General features: G+C 40.7%; 1 protein-coding gene across 2 annotated transcripts in view; it reads left to right on the plus strand.

The window, feature by feature from the left end:
* NUP93 (nucleoporin 93) overlaps positions 1–22,895 on the plus strand; it is a 120,158-nt gene that overhangs the window by 16,804 nt on the left and 80,459 nt on the right. The window contains exons 1-3 of one of the 2 annotated variants that reach the window (XM_005256263.4): positions 896–1,021; positions 1,302–1,494; positions 11,606–11,723. In XM_005256263.4, coding sequence (XP_005256320.1) covers positions 1,316–1,494; positions 11,606–11,723 — 297 coding nt within the window. In that variant the 5' untranslated portion in view covers positions 896–1,021; positions 1,302–1,315. Of the gene's footprint in view, positions 1–895; positions 1,022–1,301; positions 1,495–11,605; positions 11,724–22,895 lie in introns of those variants that run through there. The other variant, NM_014669.5, reaches the window with a different exon arrangement.

Genomic DNA, 22,895 nt, shown 5'->3' on the forward strand with positions numbered 1-22,895 from the left:
CAAGAGCTATTGTACAAGTAATTTTTTTAATGAAAGATTTTCTTCTTAACCTTTTAGCAATGTAATTTTTTTTTTTTTTTTCCAAGACAGAGTCTCACTCTATTGCCCAGGCTGGAATGCAGTGGTGTGATCTTGGCTCACTGCACTCTTCCGCCCCCCAGGTTCAAGTGATTCTCCTGCCTCAGCTTCCCGAGTAGCTGGGATTATAGGTGTGTGCCACCATGCCCAGCTAATTTTTGTATTTGTAGTAGAGATGGAGGTTTCACCACGTTGGCCAGGCTGGTCTTGAACTCCTGACCTCAGGCGATCTGCCCGCCTCGGCCTCCCAGAGTGCTGGGATTACAGGCGTGAGCCATTGTGCCCAATTTTCTTACCATGGTGCTACTTTTTATTTTCTGTTGATTTAATTAGTGGTAGGAGTTAAAAACATTCTCTTGGTCAAGAACCTTATATAAGAATAGTGCAGTATATATTCTGTACTACTGGCATTTCTAAAAGTAGCAGGTACAGTAACAAATCTAATGTCCCGAATGTCATATATAACAAGCAGGCACAGATCTGTGCTCTCATTAACCTTGTAAGATAAAGAATGTGTGAATGGAGACCTGGACATGAGTATTAAAAAAAAAAAAAGAAGAATTTCTTCTATGTTAGTGAAGGAGCAGGTGTGTTAGAATAACAGTAGGGGAGAGAGGGAGAGTTAGTGGTGGTTAGTCCGAAGAATGCCTTTGTTTTCCTGGTCTTGGTTCAGCCAAATCACAGTAGAGAGTATTCTTGGCATGTAACTCAGCCTCTGTGGATTGGAATTTGTTCTTCTTTCTTTGTTCCTCACAGAGTGGTTATGAGGGTCATTTGACATAAGGTCTTATAAATTGCCTGGTGCTTTTAGGGTGGTAGTGTTTTTCTAAGATGGGTGGAGAATAAGAGGTGCAGGTTGACTGTTCTTTAAGCCTCCTAGAGTGCCACAGTGGTTTCCATTTCCTTACCTGCTTTGAGTCTGTGGAAGGAGACAGGAATTCTGGTCTGTGACTTGATATCTGTGCATTTGTTCTGATGGCAGAAATCAATCTTGGGGCTGTCAATATGCACAGAAATGATCTGTTTTTTCACAGCCTGACTCATTTTCTCTGTCAGGCCTGTTCTTGGGCTATGTTCAGGAACAAATCCTGCTTGTTGATGAGCTGTGTCCTCGTCTGTTTACAAAAAGTTCTGCTGTTTTGTTAAGCTTGTAACAGATTCAGGCAGTGTTTGAAACCTGTCTTTCCCTTGATTTAGATCTTTTCATTTTTTCTCCCATCTAGGATCTGCATCTCCAATGGATACTGAGGGGTTTGGTGAGCTCCTTCAGCAAGCTGAACAGCTTGCTGCTGAGACTGAGGGCATCTCAGAGCTTCCCCATGTGGAACGGAACTTACAGGAGATCCAGCAGGCGGGAGAGCGCCTGCGTTCCCGTACCCTAACACGCACGTCCCAGGAGACGGCAGATGTCAAGGCGTGAGTACTGGTAGGGAGACAGCATTAGTACTGGGTGGCTTGCGGGCAGGATCTGTTTCTTCTTTCCTGCCTTGAATTCAGATCCAATCTGTGAATGACAGCCACTAGCCAGATTCTTGGGAACTCAGAAAGTGTTGTAAACAGGACAGCAGCCTTGGTTTGTTTCCCTGCCTCTCAGGTTTTCTAGCCTGTCTGCCTCACCAAGTTATGAGCTGATATCACAGGGAGAGATGATCACAAGGTGGGAGGGGGTGAAAGAGCCCTGTCATGCTGAATCTGGTCACAGAAGTTCCTGCTTGGGTTCAATGATCATTGGGTCATAAATGGCTCCCGTTATGTTAATACGTATGGACCCCACAGATAAGTTTTACCTTCAAAGCTAGAGAGCACTCAGTGATGAGGACAGTTTTTAAGAGCATTTGGAAGAAATTGATGAGCAGTTAGTGATGAGAAACCATCCAAGTGAGGAGTGATTCTGTCTGCTTGTTGTCAGTGACCCGGGAGGCTGCTTCTGAAAGGCCTTGGAAATACAGTGCCCCCAGCTGATTGTAGAACAGGAGAGTGGGTGAGCCCTAAGAGAGTGCAGCTGGGGAAAAGTGCTGACTGACTGAGCTGGCAGCCACTGCTGCCACACAGCATCAGTTGGGCTGTTGATTCCACAAACGTGTTTAAGGTCCACGCTGTGCCAGGTCTGGACCATCTCTGGGGTGACAGCCATGAATTAGACATGGTTCTTGCTCTCAAGGAGCTTATAATGTGGGGAGTGGGGCAGAAAAAAACTATGCTGCTTTCCTTAAGAAATGTGATTTACTGGTTATTTACTGTGTGTTACAAGCTTGGCTAGACGTGAGATTTTGCTTAATTTTCACAACCATCATTAGGCTACAATCTCCACATTAGAGTTGAGCAACAAAGGCTCAGAGAAGTCAAGTAACTCTTCCAGATCACACAGCTGGCGAGTGGTAAAGTCAGGATTCAAACCTAGTGAGGTTGACTCCAGAGTGCATACTCCTCTGATTGTGATGGAAGGGCATGGGAGGATGGAGAGGGTGCTGCTACTTGTGCCTTTGATGGGTCCGGAAAGACACTGAGATTCTGTGCAGGAAATATGGAAAATTGTCGGTCATCTCCTCAGTCTTCATCCCTTGAACTTGAGAAAGAACTAAGTGCTGGTGTTAATGTGGGACATCGTCTGCTCTAAGCATTTAACAGATGTCACAGGAGTATTATGTAGGAGTGGGCTACATTCTTGTTCTTGAGAGCTGAATGTTTTGGCTGCTCTGTCGAGTCAGTAAGGATGTTGTGGAAATTCTTCTGTAGACCTCCCCAAAATGTTATTTTCTAAAATAACTAGTTGGTTTTGGTTCTGTTGGCATTGGTAAAGGCAAATCAGAGGAACCCTGGCAGGGATTTTTTACCCTGCAGCCTTGCAGCTAAATGCAGCCAACTGCTTCCCTACACTGCTTTCTCACAGCCCAACCAGCCTTTAGACACTTCTGCTAACTTGCCTTCCCTGCAGGCTCCTTACCTGCTACTCCTGGCTGCCTGCAGTTACCCCCAGTCTTGAGCATGCAGGCTCTGTGCTGTATGCAAAGATACTGCTGGAGCGAAAGGCCCATGATGCCATCTTAGTTGCTATAGTTATAATTTAATTGCATCAGCTTTACAGCCTATTAAGAGCAAAAAGGGAAAATGTTTTCTTGGTAACAATTATCGGTCATGCTCTCTTGTAAATTTCCATTCTTTTTCATTTCTTTCTACCTTAAATTCATTATTTTAGGGAGGAGGAAGTTGGAATGTTGAAAGAATGGGCATAGGGTGGGGCAGGTGCTTAAAAAGAAACCAAAGGGCTGATGACTGTGTTTTTCCATCTTCTTGATAGGCAGAGACATAAAGTGTGGTGTGAATATTTTAGTACATACAAGATGAGGGCAGAAGAGAGAACTGAGTAGGAAAAATTTTCTTACATGAAATAAGTTTTGAAAGAAAATTCTGTCTTTAAGATTTTAGATTGTAAGATTTAAGATTGAAATGTTATGTGCCAAATTTATTTATTTGTCCAAATACACTGTGTTGAATATTTTGTTTTAGAGAATAGCTTTGATAGCTTTTTTTACGTGTGTGGTTTGATCTTTTACAATTGTTAAATTTTTTCACACATGAAGAAGAGTATGCTTAACATATATAAAAATGTAAATCGGGTTTTACAGCCCATGAGCCACATACAGCCTTAAAGTTTTATTGGAACACAGCCAGGCTTATTTGTATTGTCTGTGCTGCTTTTGTGCTACAGTATGAGAGTTGAGTAGTTTTGACAGAGATCATGTGCCCTGCAAAGCCTGAAATGTTTACTATCTGCTGTTTACAGAAAAAGGTTGCTGACTCCTGGTATAAATAATAAAATGAATGAATACCCATGTGCACATTTTATCAACTGAAACAGAATATTGAGCTGGGTGCCGTGGCTCATGCCTGTGACCCCAGCACTTTGGGAGGCTGAGGCAGATGAATCGCTTGAACTCAGGAGTTCAAGACCAGCCTGGACAACATGGCAAAACCCATCTACAAAAAATTAGCTGGGCATGGTGACACGCACCTGTAGTCCCAGCTACTCGGGAGGCTGAGGTAGGAGGATTGCTTGAGCCCAGGAGGTTGGAGGGTGCCCATCATCAATTGCATATCCCTCTTTTCTCACCAAAGACACCACACTAGATTTTTCCATTCAAACTGAAATCAGGCAAGCTAGATGTGTATAAAGAAAAAGCCAGTAGTCACTCTTTCTCCCTAACTTTGTCATCCAACGTAACCAATGTTATTAATTTGCTTATTTTTTCACATACTTCTCCATGTTCATGCAAAGCATATGTAAACATTTATTACCCCAAAGTTTTACAGCAGATTATAACTCTCCTTGTGATAATACTATAAGCTGTTGTTTAAGCTCTTACTGTTTGTTAGGCGCTGTGCCACACACTTTACACGCATTATATAATTTCTTTTTAAAATAACCCTGTGAAAGTGTTATCTGTGTTTTAAACTTGAGGAAAGTCAAATAGTGAGTGGCCAAGCCAGAATTTCAAATCCAACTTAGTAGGAATTCCTCATATTTGTATGGTACTTTTCAGTTTCTGAAGGATTGTCACAGGCACTTTCCTGACTGGTCTGCAGTGCCTGAGAGGTAGGATAGGCATTTTCCCCCACATTCAACAGAGGAAGAAACTGAGGCTTAGAAAGATTATGTATCCAATATTTTCAGTGAGTGACAGGTGAGACTTGAACCCAGGCCTCCTGACATTTTATATGCTTCCCATGTATGCTGGGAACAGTCCTTGTCCTTCTACTCTCCTGGAACTGGAAGGAGACTCCAGCTTCCATGACTTTCTGCTCATGTGGGACTGCCTGGCTTTTGGGAATTGAAGCAGGTAGAAGGCAGGGAACCTTCCAAGGATTTTTGCACCCTTACAGACTGAAGTTTCTAGTACAAGCTTTATTTATAAAGCCGTCCCTACCCTAGATTCCCTGTCTCCTTCGTCAGTCCTTTCTCTCCCTGCATATGCATTGCATAAGCCGTACACTGCATAAGCCACACACTGAACAGTTTCTACAGGTGTCAACTACTTAAATGACCTTTCTTTTCTGACAATTCTAGTAGATAATTTTTAAATTCTGAGGTTCTCAAAATCCTGGTATATATTAAAATTATTTTGGCACTGGATACATTCTTATGTGTCTCTGGTAGAGTACAGCACCATGGGACAAAATTTAGACATAGCTAGCAAAATTGACCCAGCAATTCCACTTCTAGGGTTTTGTCCCAAGGATATACTGGTAAAAAACACACACAAGAAAACCCTGTGCACAGGGATATTCATTACAGCATTATTTGTAATAGCAAAAATTGAAAACAAACAAATGTCCATCAGTAGGTGACTAGTGGAATAATGTAGTATGTCTATGTAGTAGAGTACTCTTCAGTAGTACAAAGGAATGAGAATATACAGTAACATGGAGTGATTCCAGGACATATTATTAGGTAAAAAATGCAGGGTAGAGAAAAGTATTTAGTACTCTATCATTTGTATAAGAAAGCAGGTGAAAGACATTCCATGTTCATGGATCAGAAGACTTAATAGTAAGATACTAATACTCCCTAAATTGGTCTGCAGATTCAACACAGTCTCTATCAAAATCCCAGCTGGGATTTTTTGCCGAAAGTGACAAGCTGATTCTAAAATCCATATAGAGATACAAGAGACTTAGAATAGCCAAAACAATCTTTAAAAAGCAGAAGAAAGTTGGAAGAATCACACTTGCAATTTCAGAAATTACTACAGAGTCACAGTAATTAAGACTATGGTACTGGCATAAGGATAGACATGTAGATTGATGGAATGGAATTATTAATCCAGATAAATAAACCCATGTGTCTGTGATCAGCTGATTTTCAACAAGGGTACCTAGACCATTCATTGTGAAAAGAACAGTCTTTTCAACAAATGATGCTAGGACAGTCACATGTCAGAAGGACCCAGAAACCAAGTTGAAGAGGCTTCTACTGGCCAAAGATGAGATTATTTGATCATCAATTAGGATAATAACTGCATTGGATTGAAACATATCAAATATGTTTAAAATTTATGAGTTTATGTACTAAAACAAAACTCATTGATCGCCTTTGGAGAATACTAGAGAACCAACTCATTATTCAGGGTAATTACATAGTTGATTTTAGAGTTTCTTGGAATGGAAGTATTCCAGCTAATGAAGATGGAATTAGGATACCACCATTTTGCAACTACTGAGGAGTAAATGGGTCTAAGCAATCATCATCAAGACTGCAAATATTTCAGATAGAGATAACCAGATATTAAATACCTCTTGATGAAAAGTATATAGTAATCTAGCCATAAAAATAGTGGCACCTCAATCTAATCAAACCCTTGGAACTTTGAATTTGCAGGAAATACAGAGGATAAAGGAGCATGTTAAATGATATCATGGGGATTCTGTCAGTAAAACATTTTCTGTGGGGAACTATAGCCTTGCTACTTTGAGTGTAGTCAATGGATCAACAGCATCAGCATCAACCATGAGCTTTTTAGTAATGGAGACTCTCAGGCTCCATCCCAAACCTATTAAATCAGAATCTACATTTTTAACAAGCTTTCCAGGTGATTCATATGCACTTTTTTTTCTGCTCTGTACTTTTGTCATCACATGTGCATTTAAAGCTTGAGTAACACTGCTTTACAAGATAAATAATCCAGAATCTTCAACAAAGATTATAAGAAAAAAATGAGAGGGACAACCTGTTGATGAAAAGAGATTTAGGAGGCATATTAATCATCCACAAGTAGAGACTTTATTTGGATTTCATTTAAACAAACACAACTTTAAAAGTTGTGAAAAAATTAGGCAATATCTTGGCTATAACAAGCATATTTGTTGATAGAGAAAAATAGGTAGGGATGTAGATGAAACAGGGTTGGCTACGACATGCAAATTGTTGGGGCTGGGTGATGGGTATGAGGAGGTTTACTATTTTAATTTTTTTTTTTTTAATGAAGAAAAGAGGTTTAATTGATTCACATTTTCACAGGGCGTACAGGAAGCGTGGATGGGGAGGTCTTAGGAAACTTACAATCATGGCAGAAGGTGAAGGGAAGACAGGCACATCTTCACATGATGGAGCAGGATAGAGGGTGAAGGGGGAAGTGCTACGTACTCTTAAACAACCAAATCTTATGGGAACTCACGGTCATGAGAACAGCAAAGGGGAAGTCTTGCCCCTATGGTCCAGTCATCTCCCACTGGGTGCCCCCTCCAATGTTGAGGATTACAGTTCGACATGAGATTTGGGTGGGGACACAGAGCCAAACCATATCATTCCACACCTAGCCCCTCCCAAATCTCATGTCCTTGTCACATTTCAAAGCACAGTCATGGCTTCCAAACAGACCCCCAATGTCTTAACTCATTCTAGCATTAACTCAAAAGTCCAAGTCCAAAGTCTTATCTGGGACAAGGCACGTCTCTTTGCCTATGAGCCTGTAAGACCAAAAACAAGTTAGTTACCTCCAAGATACAATGGGGGTACAGGCATTGGGCAAATGTTCCCATTCCAAAAGGGAGAAATTGGCCAAAACAAAGGGGCTACAGACCCCATGCTTTGGCTCTGCAGGGTACAGCCCTCTTGGCTGCTTTCATGGGCTAGTGTTGAGTGCCTGTGGCTTTTCTAGGCACATGGTGCAAACCATCAGTGGGTCTACCATTCTGAGTTCTGGAGGATGGTGGCTTTTTTCTCACAACTCCACTAGGCAGTGCCCCAGTGGGGACTCTTTGTGGGGTCTGCAACCCCACATTTCCCCTCCACACTGCTTAGTAGATTCTCCATGAGGGCTCTGCCCCTGTAGCCGACTTCTGCCTGGATATCCAGACATTTCTCTACATTCTCTGGTAGCTGTTCGGAGGCTCCCAAAATTTTGTGTTTTTAATCTTTTTCTATAATAGCTTTAAACAAGTGGGCCACTACAATGGCTGTAATCAAAAAGATAGTAACAAGTGTTGGCGAGGATGTGGGAAAAATTGGAATCTTTATACCTTGCTGGTGGGAATGTAAAATGGTATAGTTGCTTTGGAAAACAGTCTGGCATTTCCTCAAAAGATTAAGCATAGGGTTATATGACCCAGCAATTCCACTCATAGGTATATACCTAAGAGAAATGGAAATGTATACTCACACAAAAACTTGTGAAGGAAAAATAATAGCCAAAAGTGGAAATAATCCAAATGCCCATCCACTGATGAATGGATACATAAAATGTGGTATGTCCATGCAGTGGAATACTGTTTGGCAATAAAAAGGAGTGAAGTACTAATACATGTTTCAACATGAATGAACCTTGAAAGCATTATGTTAAATGAAAGAAGGCAGTTAGAAAGACTGTATATTGTGTGATTGCATTTATGAGCAATGTCCAGAATAGGCAAATTTATAGAGACAGAAAGTAGATTAGTAGTTGCCAGGGGATGGGGGAGGTTTGGGGGGAAATGGGGAATCACCACCTATTGGTCAGGGGTTGCTTTTTGGGGTGATGAAAATATTCTAAAATTGATTGTAGTGATGATTGTACAATTTTATGAATACATAAAAATCACTGAATTGTAGGCCAGGCATGGTCGCTCACGCCTGTAATCCCAGCACTTTGGGAGGCTAAGGTGGGTGGATCATTTGAGCCTGGAGTTCAACCCCAGCTTGGCCAACATGGAGAAACCCTGTCTCTAGTGAAAATACAAAAATTAGCTGAGTGTGCTGGTGTGCATCTGTAGTCCCAGCTACTAGAGAGGCTGAGGCACAAGAATTGCTTGAACCTGGGAGCTGGAGGTTGCAGAGAGCTGAGATTGCACCACTGTACTCCTTCCTGGGCAACAGAGCAAGACTGTCTCAAAATAAATAAGTAAATAAATAAACAAATTGTATACTTTAAATGATAAATTGTAAAGCTGGGTGCAGTGGCAAGCATCCTTAGTTCCTGCTACTTGGGAGGCTGAGACAGGAGGATCTCTAGAGCCCAGGAGTTTGAGTCCAATATTAATCACAACTAATCACAGTCGTTGGGAGGAAAGTTTGGACTAGGTTACTCCTGAAGCTACGTGATTCTAATGTGCAGCCAGGGTTGAGACCCACTCTTCTTTTTTTTTTAATTTTAAAATATTTTACTTTAAGTTCCGGGATACATGTGCAGAATGTCCGGGTTTGTTACATAGATATACATGTGCCATGGTGGTTTGCCACACTTATCAACCTGTCATCTAGGTTTTAAGGCCTGCATGCGTTAGGTATTTGTCCTAATGCTCTCTCTCTCCTTGCCCCCCCCCCCCCCGACAGGCTCCTATGTGTGTTGTTCCCCTCCCCGTGTCCATGTGTTCTCTGTTCAACTCGCACTTATGAGTGAGAACATGCAGTGTTTGGTTTTGTGTTCCTGTGTTAGTTTGCTGAGAATGATAGCTTCCAGCTTCATCCAGCTCCCTGCAAAGGACATGAACTCATTCTTTTTGATGGCTGCGTGGTATTCCATGGTGTATATGTGCTACATTTTCTTTAACCAGTCTATCATTGATGGGCATTTGGGTTGGTTCCAAGTCTTTGCTATTGTAAATAGTGCTGCAGTAAACATACATGTGCATGTGTCTTTATAGTAGAATGATTTATAATCCTTTGGTTATATACTCAGTAATGGGATTGCTGGGTCAATGGTATTTCTGTTTCTAGATCCCTGAGGAATTGCTACACTGTCTTCCACAGTGGTTGAATTAATTTACACTCCCACCAACAGTGTAAAAGCATTCCTGTTTCTTCACAGCCTTGCCAACATCTATTATTTCCTGACTTTTTAATAATCGCCATTCTGATTGGCATGAGATGGTATCTCATTGTGGTTTTGATTTGCATTTCTCTAATAATCAGTGATATTGAGCTTTTTTTCATATGTTTGTTGGCTGCATAAATGTCTTCTTTTGAGAAGGGAGACCCACTCTTTTAGAGAGTTAACTTTTTAGGATTATTAGAGGAGAGAGGCAAGATACGGCAACCTGGAGGGAAAGTCCCGGGGATGGCATCATAGTTGACGTGGAAGAGACAAAAATCTATAGGAAGGAACCTCTGGGTAAATGTAATCTGTTGCTGTAGTATTTATTGGATTAGAACTACATATGCGAAATCCTTTCTCTTCTCCAGTAAGTCTGTTAGTTCAGGATTGAAACTTTTAGGTGTTATACCTGTAGGTGTTAGGGTTACATGTGCTGCCAAATTCTCTGACTACTAAGTTACTCAAAGTGAACACAAATGTTATCAGTGAGAGTTTTTGGTACTAATTTATAATCCAAGAACAGTCTACAAATTAATGGGCTGGATGTGGTGGTTCACGCCTGTAATCCCGGCACTTTTGGAAGCTGAGGCAGGAGGATCGCTTGGCCAGGAGTTTGAGACCAGCCTGGGCAACAGAGCAAGACCCTGTCTGAAAATAAAATAAAATAGACTAGACCAGACTAGACCCGACCCGACCTGACCCGACCCCACCCCACCACTACACTACGAGTTCCCCTAAGTTTCTTTTTTACAGAGAGTGTTCTAGATATTAGTGCAACCTTTTCTTTAAAAAACTACCCTTGCATTGTTACATTGCCCCAGGTGAGTAGAAATAAAGATGGCTATATTATTCCCATTTCTCTTCAAAAGCATTTACTGATCAGATAACAGCCTCCTATATTATTAGACTGGGCAGCAGAGAGGGAACCTGCAGATGTGCTGAACATGGCGTTTGGCTTTTGAAGGGAAGCCATGGAGAACTGGCCTTGAATTCTGGTTTGATTGCCCCTGGGCAAATCATTGATCACCTTGAACCTTTAGTTTCCTTAGCTCATGAATGACGTTTATACTAGGTTACTCCTGAAACTTCTACAATATTGTAGTTCACTGTATTCATCTACGGAGGCTGTAAGTGTAGGATGGTGGTTAAGAGTTGTGCTGTACAACCCGGGAGGCTGAGGCAGGAGAATCACATGAACCTGGGAGGTGGAGGTTACAGTGAGCCGAGATCATGCCACTGCAATCCAGTCTGGACGACAGAGTGACACTCTGTCTCAGAAAAAAAAAAAAGTTGGGGGGAGCTTGTGCCACAGAACTAGATGTCCTGCCTCTGCCACTTCCTGACTCTGTGACTTTGGGCAAGCTGGCTAACCTCTTTGTACCTTAGTTCTCTCATCCATAAAATGGGGATGAATGATAGCATGCACCTCATGGGTTTCTTTACTATGACATGTTTGGAGCAGTCTAGTCTATGGTAGTAGTATCGTTTTATTCTAGACAAGGCTCTCAAATTCAGGCATGATTAGAACTTGAATCTGTTACTACAAAGTACAGTGTTATGGCTCTTATTCCAGGTGATGTCTATGGAAAGATATAAAACAACTATGTAAAAGTGTCTGGACAGTATATAGGAAGTTTTGAATTAAAAATGCTCTCTAGTATTTGATGAAGCATATTAGATGTCCTAATCCTAATCCTAATTTTCCCCTTACTTATATCTCCCTATTCTATATCCTCACATAGGTCAGTTCTCCTCGGGTCTCGGGGACTTGACATATCCCACATCTCCCAGCGATTGGAGAGTCTGAGTGCAGCCACCACCTTTGAGCCTCTTGAGCCTGTGAAGGACACTGACATTCAGGTAAGGGCTGCCAAGTGCAGGTGGAACCCAGAGCATATAACCCAGGCTGAAGACCCTGGCCCTTTATTAACTAGCAGATTGAGGAATTTCAGTTTTCTTTGTTAACTTTCTTCTTCCTCAGATATTAAGAGAACAGTAGATTCAGCTTTGGAGGTATAGTGGAAAACATTGGGTTATTTTCAGAGCTCTCTGTGTGGCTGAATTTAAGAAAGCAATTCCAACCTGCACTTTTTAGATTATTATAATTAGGAGAACAGATTTCTCTTCCTTCCTTGGGCTTAATCCAAGGCTCAGAGACATTAGTTGCAAGTTTCTTTCGCTTTCTTTGCTAGATCTCAAATAATTTTACTATTCGTCTTCCACATTTCTTTTTTACATCTTGCTTGTATTGGTTGGCAAAGAGCTGGGGAAAACTTAGAGTACTATTTACTGAAACCTACTCAATGATTTCCAAGAAGTGTTTGGCTGCATTAGTGGCACCAGGAAATAGTCTAATAGAGCACTCCAGTCTCATTTAACCAAACATGCCACAAGCAATTGATAGCTGTTTTAATCTAATCAGAAACTGACGTAAAATTGTTAAGGAAAAAACTCACGGTCTGTTTAGTTTTTGAGGAATTGGAACACTGCATTTGCATTAGAGTGAAGGGACAGTGGGGCACCATTTTATTTTTTTATCATTGATTTACCTGAAAATGAGAGGATGCCTTCTGCAGAGGCAAATTCTAGTAGAAATGGGCAATATTATTTGGGCTCAATTTGAATTAATACTCTCTATCCTAGTAACCTTCCTAAGAACCATTTTAGTCCATCTAATGGCCACATTTCTCCTGCATTTATTTGAATTCAGAAACCTAAAACTACTTTGAGTTGAGAGTTGAAGAACTATAGATATTTTTCCTATTGCTGCTATGTTCCCAAAGTATGAGAATCCAGTTTTTCCAGTTTTATATGCTAAATCATTTTTGCATGTCAACTTATAGTTGCCTTCTCATTTCCATGTAATCTTGAAATGGCATGTATACTTTTTAAACTTTTTTTTTTAAGTTTTAGCCCCCCTCCCCCGTACAACTGCTTGAGGCTCTCTGTTAACAAATACATGTAACAGGGATGAATAATCACCATGTATTTTGGGAGCATCCCTAATAATGTGGAAAGAAATGGCACCTGCTGAAAGGGTTTTTGTTCGTTTTTAATGTTGAAAATACCAGAGAAATTGTTTGTTTGAAAAACAAAGTGTTTTTTACATTTTCTTTGATATTCTTGGAGTAGGTATTTGGAATACTCAACAGCATTTTGTGATGCACTTCATGCATTTCGAGTGATGTGAAACTCCATTTTTTTACCTTAAGGTATTGACAGGTTTGTAAATGTATTGAGTCATAATGATCATTTCATCTAACCTTCTACTTAATGGAAGAATACTCTCCTTCAACACTGCCATTAGATGGTTTTCTAACAATATATGCTTAGTTACATCAAAGAGAATTTCTTAATTTGGAATGAGCGCATCAGAGCTTTGGTCCTGTACCACTGGGAAGTCTCTGAACTTTGAGGTTAAGGATGCTTCATTTCAAAAGTTCACCTCTTGGCCAGGCACAGTCGCTCATGCCTCTAATCCCAGCATGGTAGGAGGCTGACGTGGGAGGATTGCTTGAGCCTAGGAGTTCAAGACCAGCCTGGACGACATAGTGATACCCCCTGTATTTGGCCATCCTTGCATTGCTATAAAGACATACCTGAGACTGGGTAATATATAAAGAAAGAGGTTCAATTGGCTCACGGTTCTGCAGGCTGTACAAGAAGCATAAAACCAGCATCTGCTTCTGGGGAGGCCTCAGGGAGCTTTTACTCATGGCAAAAGGCAAAGTGGGAGCTTGCACGTCACATGGTGAAAGCAGGAGCTAGAAAGAGTTGGGGGCAGGGGCGGGTGCCACTTTCAAACACCAGATCTCATAAGAACTCACTGTCATGAGGACAGCACCAAGAGGATGGTATTAAACCATTCATGAGAAATCTGCTCTCATGATCCAGTCACCTCCCACCAGGCCCCACCCCCAACACTGGGGATTACAGTTCAACATGAGATTTGGCAGAGACATGTATTCAAACTACGTTACTCTGTCTCTACAAAGATAAAAAATGATCGGGGCATGGTGGCGCACTCCTGTAGTCCCAGCTACAGGGGGAGGCTGAGGCAGGAACATCACTTGAGTCCAGGAGGTTGAGGTTGAGGCTGCAGTGAGTCCCTCCTGTGTGCACCACTGTACTCAAGTCTGGGTGACAGAGCAAGACCCTGTCTCAAAAAAAACCAAAAAAAAACCCAGAAACAACTCACCTCTTCGTTGTGCTGTTCCAGAATAGCTTCAAAAAATGCAAAATGGTCAGTCCAAGATAACTTTTGATTAATTAGGAATTGATCATCTAGACCTGAAGTAAAAGTTTAAGGCTTACTAGTTTTGAAATAAGTTCTCTGTTCACTTCATCTTCTTGCCAGCAAAGGCTTAAAGGAGAAAATTTAGCTTTGGCCTGATCTGGGGGAACTCCGTTTTATCAATAGGGATTGGAGGTTTTAAGTTGTATTGTGTGGCTCAGTTGACCTGTGCTTAATAAACTTCCTATACACGTATCCTTCCCTGACTTCTTGTTTAGTAACCAAGCATAAGAGCCAAGCCAGCTTGCATTCCTGGCATGGAGTGATCCTCCTCTTAATTCTTCTCATAATGTGTTGGTTATCCAAGAAGAGTAAACTTGGACATTTTCAGTGATTTGTCTTTAGAAAAGCCAGATATACTATTCGATGGACTTTTTTTTTCATTTATTTTAATTGCTTAAATGAGATATAATTCACATACCATAAATGTGGTGGACTTTTGTAATTGAACTTTTGTTTTTCAATCAATGCATTTTTTTTTTGAGGTGAGAATGCACCCTAATTCCATGTGCTATCAGTCAGAGGGAAATTATTATGTCAGTTTATAAGCCACTTAAAGTACTGTTATAAAAAGGAAATGCTGATGCATTCTTTGACAAGTACCGTCCAGGACTTTGTACTATCCATCGTTTGCATTACTTATAAGCTTAAAGGCATTTTGCCACTTATGCATTGTCTTTTTCTATTTGGTAAACATTGATTATATTTCCTTCTGCTTCTAATGGAGCTTGAAATTAATATGGGTTTTTGTTGTTACCATTTTGTTGTTTGTCATAATCAATAATGTTTGCGTGCATTGTGAATGCATTTTAAAAAAATTGCTGTGACCACCAAAGGTAGTATATTAAAGAAACGCCACTTAAATATATGTAGGGATGATACTAGTAGAATTTTTTTAATGTTTATTGATTTTATTTTTTGGAAATGGTCATAAAGAAGGCCTACATTTGTGTAATAGAGGTGAAGAGTGATAACAGGACATACTACTAAAACAGCTGTACTGGATCTGTTCTAAATGACTTTGTGGTGCTTGGGAGTATGCGTCCTCTCACAGAGATCCACTTGCTCACTTCTGTCTTTGGAGAAAAAAATATTGATGGCATATTGCACATCTTTACTGTGGTCTGAACAGACCTAATGTGTCATGGATACGTGTATTATATAATAATAAAGTGCAAATTTACGTAGTCCAGTTATATTCTGGGTTTTTTCACTAGATTGCATGTATATTTCAAGAAGTCTGTGCAGAAATAGCCTGAATTGGCCATGAAAATGGGAGCTGCATTTTCCCAGCATTAGGCTATAATATTTTTAAATGGCATTAGACTTTCAAAATAACTAAGAGTGGAATTGGAATGTTTCTAACACAAATAAATGATAAACACTTGAGGCGAAGGGTATCCTGATTGCCGATTTGATCATTACACATTGTATGCTTGTATCAAAGTATCACATGTACAACATGAATAAATATGATGTATCCCTAATAATTAAAAATATTTTTAATGGCATTAGACCATTGCAGAGCAATAATAAATAATTGCCAAACTTACTATATTAAATTCCTAGGGATGCTGTAACAAAGTACTGCAAACTTGGTGGCCTAAAACAACAGAAGTTTATTCTGTCACAGTTCTGGAATCCTGAACTTTGAAATCAAGGTATTGGCAGCACCACACACTCTCCATAGGCTCTAGGGGAGACTCCTTCCTCTTCTGGCTTCTGATTGGCTCCTGACATTCCTTGGCTTAGGGCAGGGTATCTTCGGTCTCTTCCTCCATCTTCACGGGGTTCTTCCTTGTGTGTGTCAGGTCTACCTTTCATGTCATATAAGGACACCAGTCATTGGATTTAGGACCCACCCTAAATCCAGGATAATCTCTTCTTGAGATCCTTAATTACATTTGCAAAGGCCCTATTTCCAAGTAAGGTCATATTTACAAGGACCAGAGGTTGGGACTTGGACATATCTTTTTGTGGGACACACACTTCAACCCACTGTACTTATAGTGCCAGAAATTTTAAAACTGTTACTGTAAAGAATGAAACATCTTCAAATCTAACTCCATTTCATATCCATGGGCAGTATTGGGATAAGATATCCATTGCTAGTCGTTCAGTACTGCAGGTCCCAACTAAGTTTCTCATGTCATCCTCCTCATTCTGCTTTGAGCCTTTGGGAAATGAGGGTGACTACTTATATCTGATTTCAGAATTTAATAGTAGTTACTCTTTCTAAACATGTTAACAGTCTGTAATGTGTTTGAGAGATTTATCTAGAGACATTTTTCAACTAGAAACTCTCTGCTTCTTAAAGTATTAAATATGTAGTTTTTAAGGTAACTATAGATAGGATTAAATTTTGGCATTTTTCCAAGGTAGAAGGAACTGCTTGTGTGTGTGTGTGTGGGTGGGTGTGTGTGTGTATGTGTGGGTGTGTGTGTGTGTGTATGTAAATGCCCAACCCATTCTTTTTTCTTTTATAACATATCTTTGCTCACTGCCTTCACTTGTCCTGGAACATCCAAGCCCTAATTTCAGTCTAAGACCCTAAGGCTTTCCTTAGATATCACCTCTTCCACAGTCTTAATAGACCTGTTTTCCCCACAGCCTCCAAATACAGTATATTGGCTTCCCTGCTGAGGAAAAGACAAAACTTCCTGAATGTTCCCTTACAAAGTAAATAGAAATCTAGATTATGTTGTTGGAATTGACTTAGCCGCCAATTCTAATCATGGTTAAGTGAAAATTCAGCCCCTTCTACCCAAAAGAAAAAAAAAAGACTCTGTTCTGAAGGTCTTCATAATCTGCCTAAATCTCCAGATGGAAATCTGTCCTATATAAGTAAAGAGGAAAAGAAGTGATAAACAGGATAAAATAACCATAAAAAAATTAGTGTTAGGGAAACTGAACTATATATCATATGTAAGACTAAAGGTGTGATAATAATTGACTGTTAAAAACTTGTTTTGCTTGCCACACTGTATCTATAACATATTCATTATTTTCTTCCTTTTCCTGTCCTTGGAAATGTAGAATATGCTCAAACCACTTTTAGTTTGTCTTTTAAATAGAAAGAAGAAACTAAATGATTTTGGTAAGTTTAAAAATGAATCAATGGCCGGATGCGGTGGCCCACACCTGTAATCCCAGCACTTTGGGAGGCCGAGGCGGGCAGATCACTTGAGGTTAGAAGTTCAAGATCAGCCTAGTCAACATGGTGAAACCCGTCTCTACTAAAAATACAAAAATTAGCCGGACATGTTGGTGCACGCCTGTAATCCCAGCTACTCAGGAGGTTAAGACAGGAGAATCACTTGAACCCGAGAGGTGGAGGTTGTGGTGAGCTGAGATGGCACCACAGCACTCCAGCCTGGCTGACAGAGAGAGACTCTGTCTCAAAAAATGAATAAAATTAAAAAATGAATCAATAGTCTTGTAACCCCTTATCACCTGAATTATTTTTATAGTCTATCTTTTAGTTTTCTATCTTCTGCTCCTTAAATGCAGCTATATATAACAGCAAAGAGGAAAAGTAGTTGCTCACTAATTGGATGTTTGTAGTACTGGCAAGTAGTTGGTTGGGAACAGGTTGCGGAAATCCTGTGGCAGTTTGTTGGAAAGAGGGTCAGATTTGCCTAGAATGATTAATATGCGAATAGCTCTTCAGGAATTACTGGCAAAATATTAATATTGAAGGAAAAGTGCAGTAAAATTTCTTAGCTTGAATCAGTCAAGGGAAAGTACAGTCTGAATGGGTAAACAGTATCTTAATTCTAAGGCTGAAAGAAATGCAGTTGTCATTTTCATCTGTTTCTGAAACTGAAACTGCTAAGCATGTTTACCAAGGAAAAGCATTATTACCAGAGCTGCTTTAGCAAATCCGAGGAAGAGATGAAGTCCTTAAGAGTTGCATCTGTTTGCCTACTGATAATTTGTGTAACGATTCTGAGAAATGGTTTAAGTAGGCAGAACATCCCTATCTTCCATCTTGTTTCTGTTCTTAATATGCCTGAGTAGGCTCTTCTGCACAAAATGGTGATCTAGCCCAAATTGGATGATTTTGAACTGATGGACTGTGGACCCTGAAGGAATAAGACTTTGCTGTCTAAATATTTTCACATAATATAAAAATATAAGAGACTATTCCATGGAATCTAATGGTGTGAAGGCTTTTAGTTAAGCATTTGCATTTATTTATCTCCTTTGTTATATTCCTCTTGTCCCTAAGAGAATGAACAGGATGTTCATGATACCCTTTCTTTTGAGTTTTTAGAGGGATTTAATGGATATTTGAATCTTGCTGTTTCTCAGCTTATGACAGCTGCCCATCCTGGACTTAAAACAACCTATAGTTAATGCTCCTGGGCTCAGTAGGAGTGATGAATCTGATTATCACCAGATCCAAAGTCTGTTAGTTGAAGAGAAATCCTTTCCTGGAACACCAGGTACATTTTAGGCCAAGATTTGGGTGTAGTGACTGAATTGCATGTAGAAAAGACATTACATCTTACTGTGCCCTGTTCTGGTTGAGGGACAATAAGTGGTGCCAAGCTTTGTCCCCTATATGAACACAGTGGTGTCTACATCACACCTACTTAATAAACATATTTGCTGTTCCTTGTCATTAAACCCTGACCCAGTATAAATCTTAGAGCTGGTAAAAACCATTAAACCTGTACAAAAAAAAATATAATGTCTTCACAGAGGCAGGCTAATGTGCCATCCTGTTTCATGTTTATAATTAGGTAGCCTAATGCTGATCACAGTGGTAAGAAATTGAAATGATTTAATTTTTCTGCCTGTCCATGATAAGGGAAAAGGTAGGCATTGTGGTCTGGTGGCAAAGTATGCAATTACATTAAAGTATTCTGTGAATGGAATTAAAAATGGTAACTTTGGAATAAAAATGGGTCGGGGAAAATGTGAAAAACTGCTTTTATGTGAGCCAGGGATATAAGATTTCAGCCTTTTTATTTATCCATTCACACTTACTCCTGAATGCAAGGCTTTCAGAAGAAGCAAGTAAATGGATGCTGAATGCATTCTGAACGAGCGGGAAATGACAGGCTTTTTTGTCTTCTAGGAGGTTTCTTATATCCTGTAGTGAGCAAGAGAGTATCAATTACCAACTTAAAGAAGAAAGAAGTTGGAATGGTTCTCTAAGAGTATTTTGGAACAAGCCCCGTGGCTGAAACATTTAACATTTTAATAGAAGACTTCAGATATTGGCCAGGCTCTGGTGCCTTTGAACTGGAGTTGAGTCGTCCCCTCCCTCCTTCACCAGCTATCTCTTAACCTGCCGATACCAGTGATGCCCCAGCACTCTGGTGATGAGAAACATAGATTGACATCTTCAGTCTGGCATCTATAAATTGCTCGGTTGCAGGAACCAGAAATGGGCATGTCTTTTTATCTGCTGAACTATTTGATACTGGAGTGGTTGTGATTTAAATGGTGGTTAAAGCCTTGTCAAATATTGAATTGTTTTACTGTAGACCAGTCTGTTGTTCTCAGATGGCAGCCCTTTACCCATGTGCCACTTTGATCTGCTTGCCACAGCACCTTGTGATCTCTTATTTCTGTTTTTGGAATGTTCGATCCAAAGCTGTGCAGGCCTGCAGCCTGATGTGGCAGTTGGCAAACTGAGGCTTCTCAGTTACAAAACTTTGGGGCCCAGGTTGTTAGTGTCTCACTAAAAATCCATGATCTGCGATGGAACCGAGAGAGGGGATTACATAGAGGGGAGACCCTTGGCTTTACTTCTTTTCATTTGTTTGTTTGGTAGGGACCAGGAAAAGAAGCTGGAAGGTAAGATGGGTAACATCCCCTACTGACAAGACCTAGACTTAGAATTTTCTTGTGCTGCAGTGCTCTAAGAACCAGTGTGTATCGCTTTCTTTTAAAGCATCTTTCCATTTCACAGATGCTCAGCTTCCATCTTGCACTTCAGATTTGGAGAGGCTGAATGTGTTCCCCAAGCCCAGGTTGCTGACAGCCATGCTGGGGCTAAGGCCCTTGATTCTGACAGCTGCTGGTCTGCAGCGATCACAAGATCAGCAGTGGTGCACGCACCACTTTAATTATCCTGGAGGACAGAAGGGCCAGTCCTTGCCTCTCACTGTGGAGTGGCTGTGAGGCTGAGATGCCATCAGCAAAATCCTGCCTGTGCTTTCCAGAAAGCTGCAGCACTTGAAGCACTGCAGCAGAATCTGCTGAGCAGGGCTGGGCGTGACACAGCTGCCAAGAAATTATTCAGAAAGAACCCTTGTCTTATAAGACATATTTGCAATGAAGACTAGACTATTTGTTTAATTTATAAAACAAAAGGGAGGGAGGGTTAGGTCAGCAGAATGTAAGTGGGAGTATGGATTTACTTCCTGATTTTTAAAAATTACTGACTAATTTGGTTTATTTCTTTGAATGGGATGAACAAAAGGATATGGGGGAGAGTTTCCTCCACTCCTCCCTTTTCTTTTAAAAAAATAGTCTATTTTAAAATGCTGTTGCTATCTTAGGGACAGGTAGAAACCGCCATGGAAGGTTATATGATATGCTTGATTTGCTCAAGGTACCAAAATACACTAGTGTGATATTCCCTGGGAGTTTTCTCTCTTCTTCTAGTAGGTTCTCTCACAGTGCACATCAGTCTTTCTCAACAGGAGGACCCGTCTCTAAATGAGCAGGGCCTGGCGGACCCTTGAAAGTTTATGGGCATTTACAGGATCATTTAATTCTGTAATGAGGTCCTAAACTGCCCCAGATGTCTTAGCATTGAATGAATATAGTGGTGGGTGTTGTTCATTCAAAAGGTGCTTTTACTGAATCAGTGCTTCTCAAACCAGTTTTTTTCTTCACTTTGTCTCAGACTGAGAGATACTTTTATAAAATATAACAAAAATGAATTACTAGGAAAAAAAGACATGCAAAGTACAAGCCCTTTTTAAAATGGGGTTTGTTAGCTATAAAATTACTCAGTTTGCTGTAAAAATCTCTAAATCCTTATTGTCAGTCTTTGCACTTACCTGCTGCAGACTGGGAGCAAACCATTTGTGGACCGGTGCTCCTTTGACCATATTTTGAGCACCACAAGTTTAAATAGTTGTGTTTTTTTCTCCTTCCTTCTTCCTTCCCTGTTTCTCACCGTTGCAGTGAAACGTAGTACCAGAGACACATTACGTTCTTGTCTTTTGGCTGGGCGCAGTGGCTCACGCCTGTAATCCCAGCACTTTGGGAGGCTGAGGTGGGTGGATCACCTGAGGTCGGGAGTTTGAGACCAGCCTGACCAACATGGAGAAACCCTATCTCTACTAAAAATACAAAATTAGCTGGGCGTGGTGGCGCATGCCTGTAATCCTAGCTACTCGGGAGGCTGAGGCAGGAGAATTGCTTGAACCCGGGAGGCGGAGGTTGTGGTGAACCAAGATCACGCCATTGCACTCCAGCCTGGGTGACAAAAGCAAAACTCTGTCTCAAAAAAAAAAATTTTTTTTTTTGGCCAGGTGTGGTGGCTCACGCCTGTAATCCCAGCACTTTGGAGGCCAAGGCGGGCGGATCACAAGGTCAGGAGATCGAGACCATCCTGGCTAACACGGTGAAACCCTGTCTCTACTAAAAAATACAAAAAATTAGCCTGGTGTGGTGGCGGGCGCCTGTAGTCCCAGCTACTCGGGAGGCTGAGGCAGGAGAATGGTGTGAACCCAGGAGGTAGAGCTTGCGGTGAGCCGAGATTGCCCCACTGCACTCCAGTCTGGGGGACAGAGCAAGACTCTGTCTCAAAAAAAAAAAAAAATTGACTTTTGTCTTACCCCAGCTAACATCAGGGAAGCAAAGCCAAGGTTTATTGAGCATTTATTATGTTCAGACGTGTGCTAAGCACTTCCTAGGCTTGCTCATTTAATCTTCCCAGCAACCCTCTGAGGTGGATACTTACTGTTAACCCCATGTCACAGATGAGGAAGCTAAGGCTTACAGAGGCTAGATATGCCAGACCAGAGCTCCAGTCTGTTGATTTGAGTCCAATACTGTGCTCTTAGCTGCCTAGGATTTAAATTGCATTTGCAGACTAAGACTGTTTTAGTGAAGGAGGGAAGTTTTTCAGGATGTATTAGAAGGAGGAAAGTTAGTGAAAGTATAAAATAGAAGTATAATTGATCATTCATTTAGAGCAAAATAAAGAGTAGAAAGCCCACAGTGCCGGAGAAAAGTATCTTTTGAATGGATGTGGTAGGCATAGCTCTTATTTACACAAGCTTAGTAGTAAAATAACGTTGATTGAGGGAGAGGCTGGAGCGTACTTTCTCAACCCTGATGTGAACTCTTGCGGAGCGTTGGGAGGTGGTGGTTGAGGGGCATTCAGTTTTACAGAAAGACCAAACCTGCTTCATCCGTTTATCTCCAGGTGCTTGCTTTTTTTTGCCATAGTTTTCTGCTTGCTGAGCTGTCAGTTTAATTTACTGTCTAAAGCTCAGCCTATTATTTTTCAGGTTTGCTGCCCTACAGGTACACTGTAAAGGATTTCTGTGAAATCCTGGAGCAGCTTTTAGTTTCAAAATGCCAAAGCTTTGTGCTTGTGAAAATAGGTTGTGTTCAGCTTCTTGCTTGATCATCTTTGTTTTGTTTTGCTTCTGAAGCTGAACTTGAGTTAGAAGCATGATGCTAGAAGCAATTTAAAGGGCACATCAAATTTTTACTGTAATACTGAACTATTGATTGTTGACTTATTTGTAGGTTTAATG

This window comes from Homo sapiens, chromosome 16 (assembly GCF_000001405.40).
Source record: "Homo sapiens chromosome 16, GRCh38.p14 Primary Assembly".
NCBI classification, from domain to species: Eukaryota; Metazoa; Chordata; class Mammalia; order Primates; family Hominidae; genus Homo; species Homo sapiens.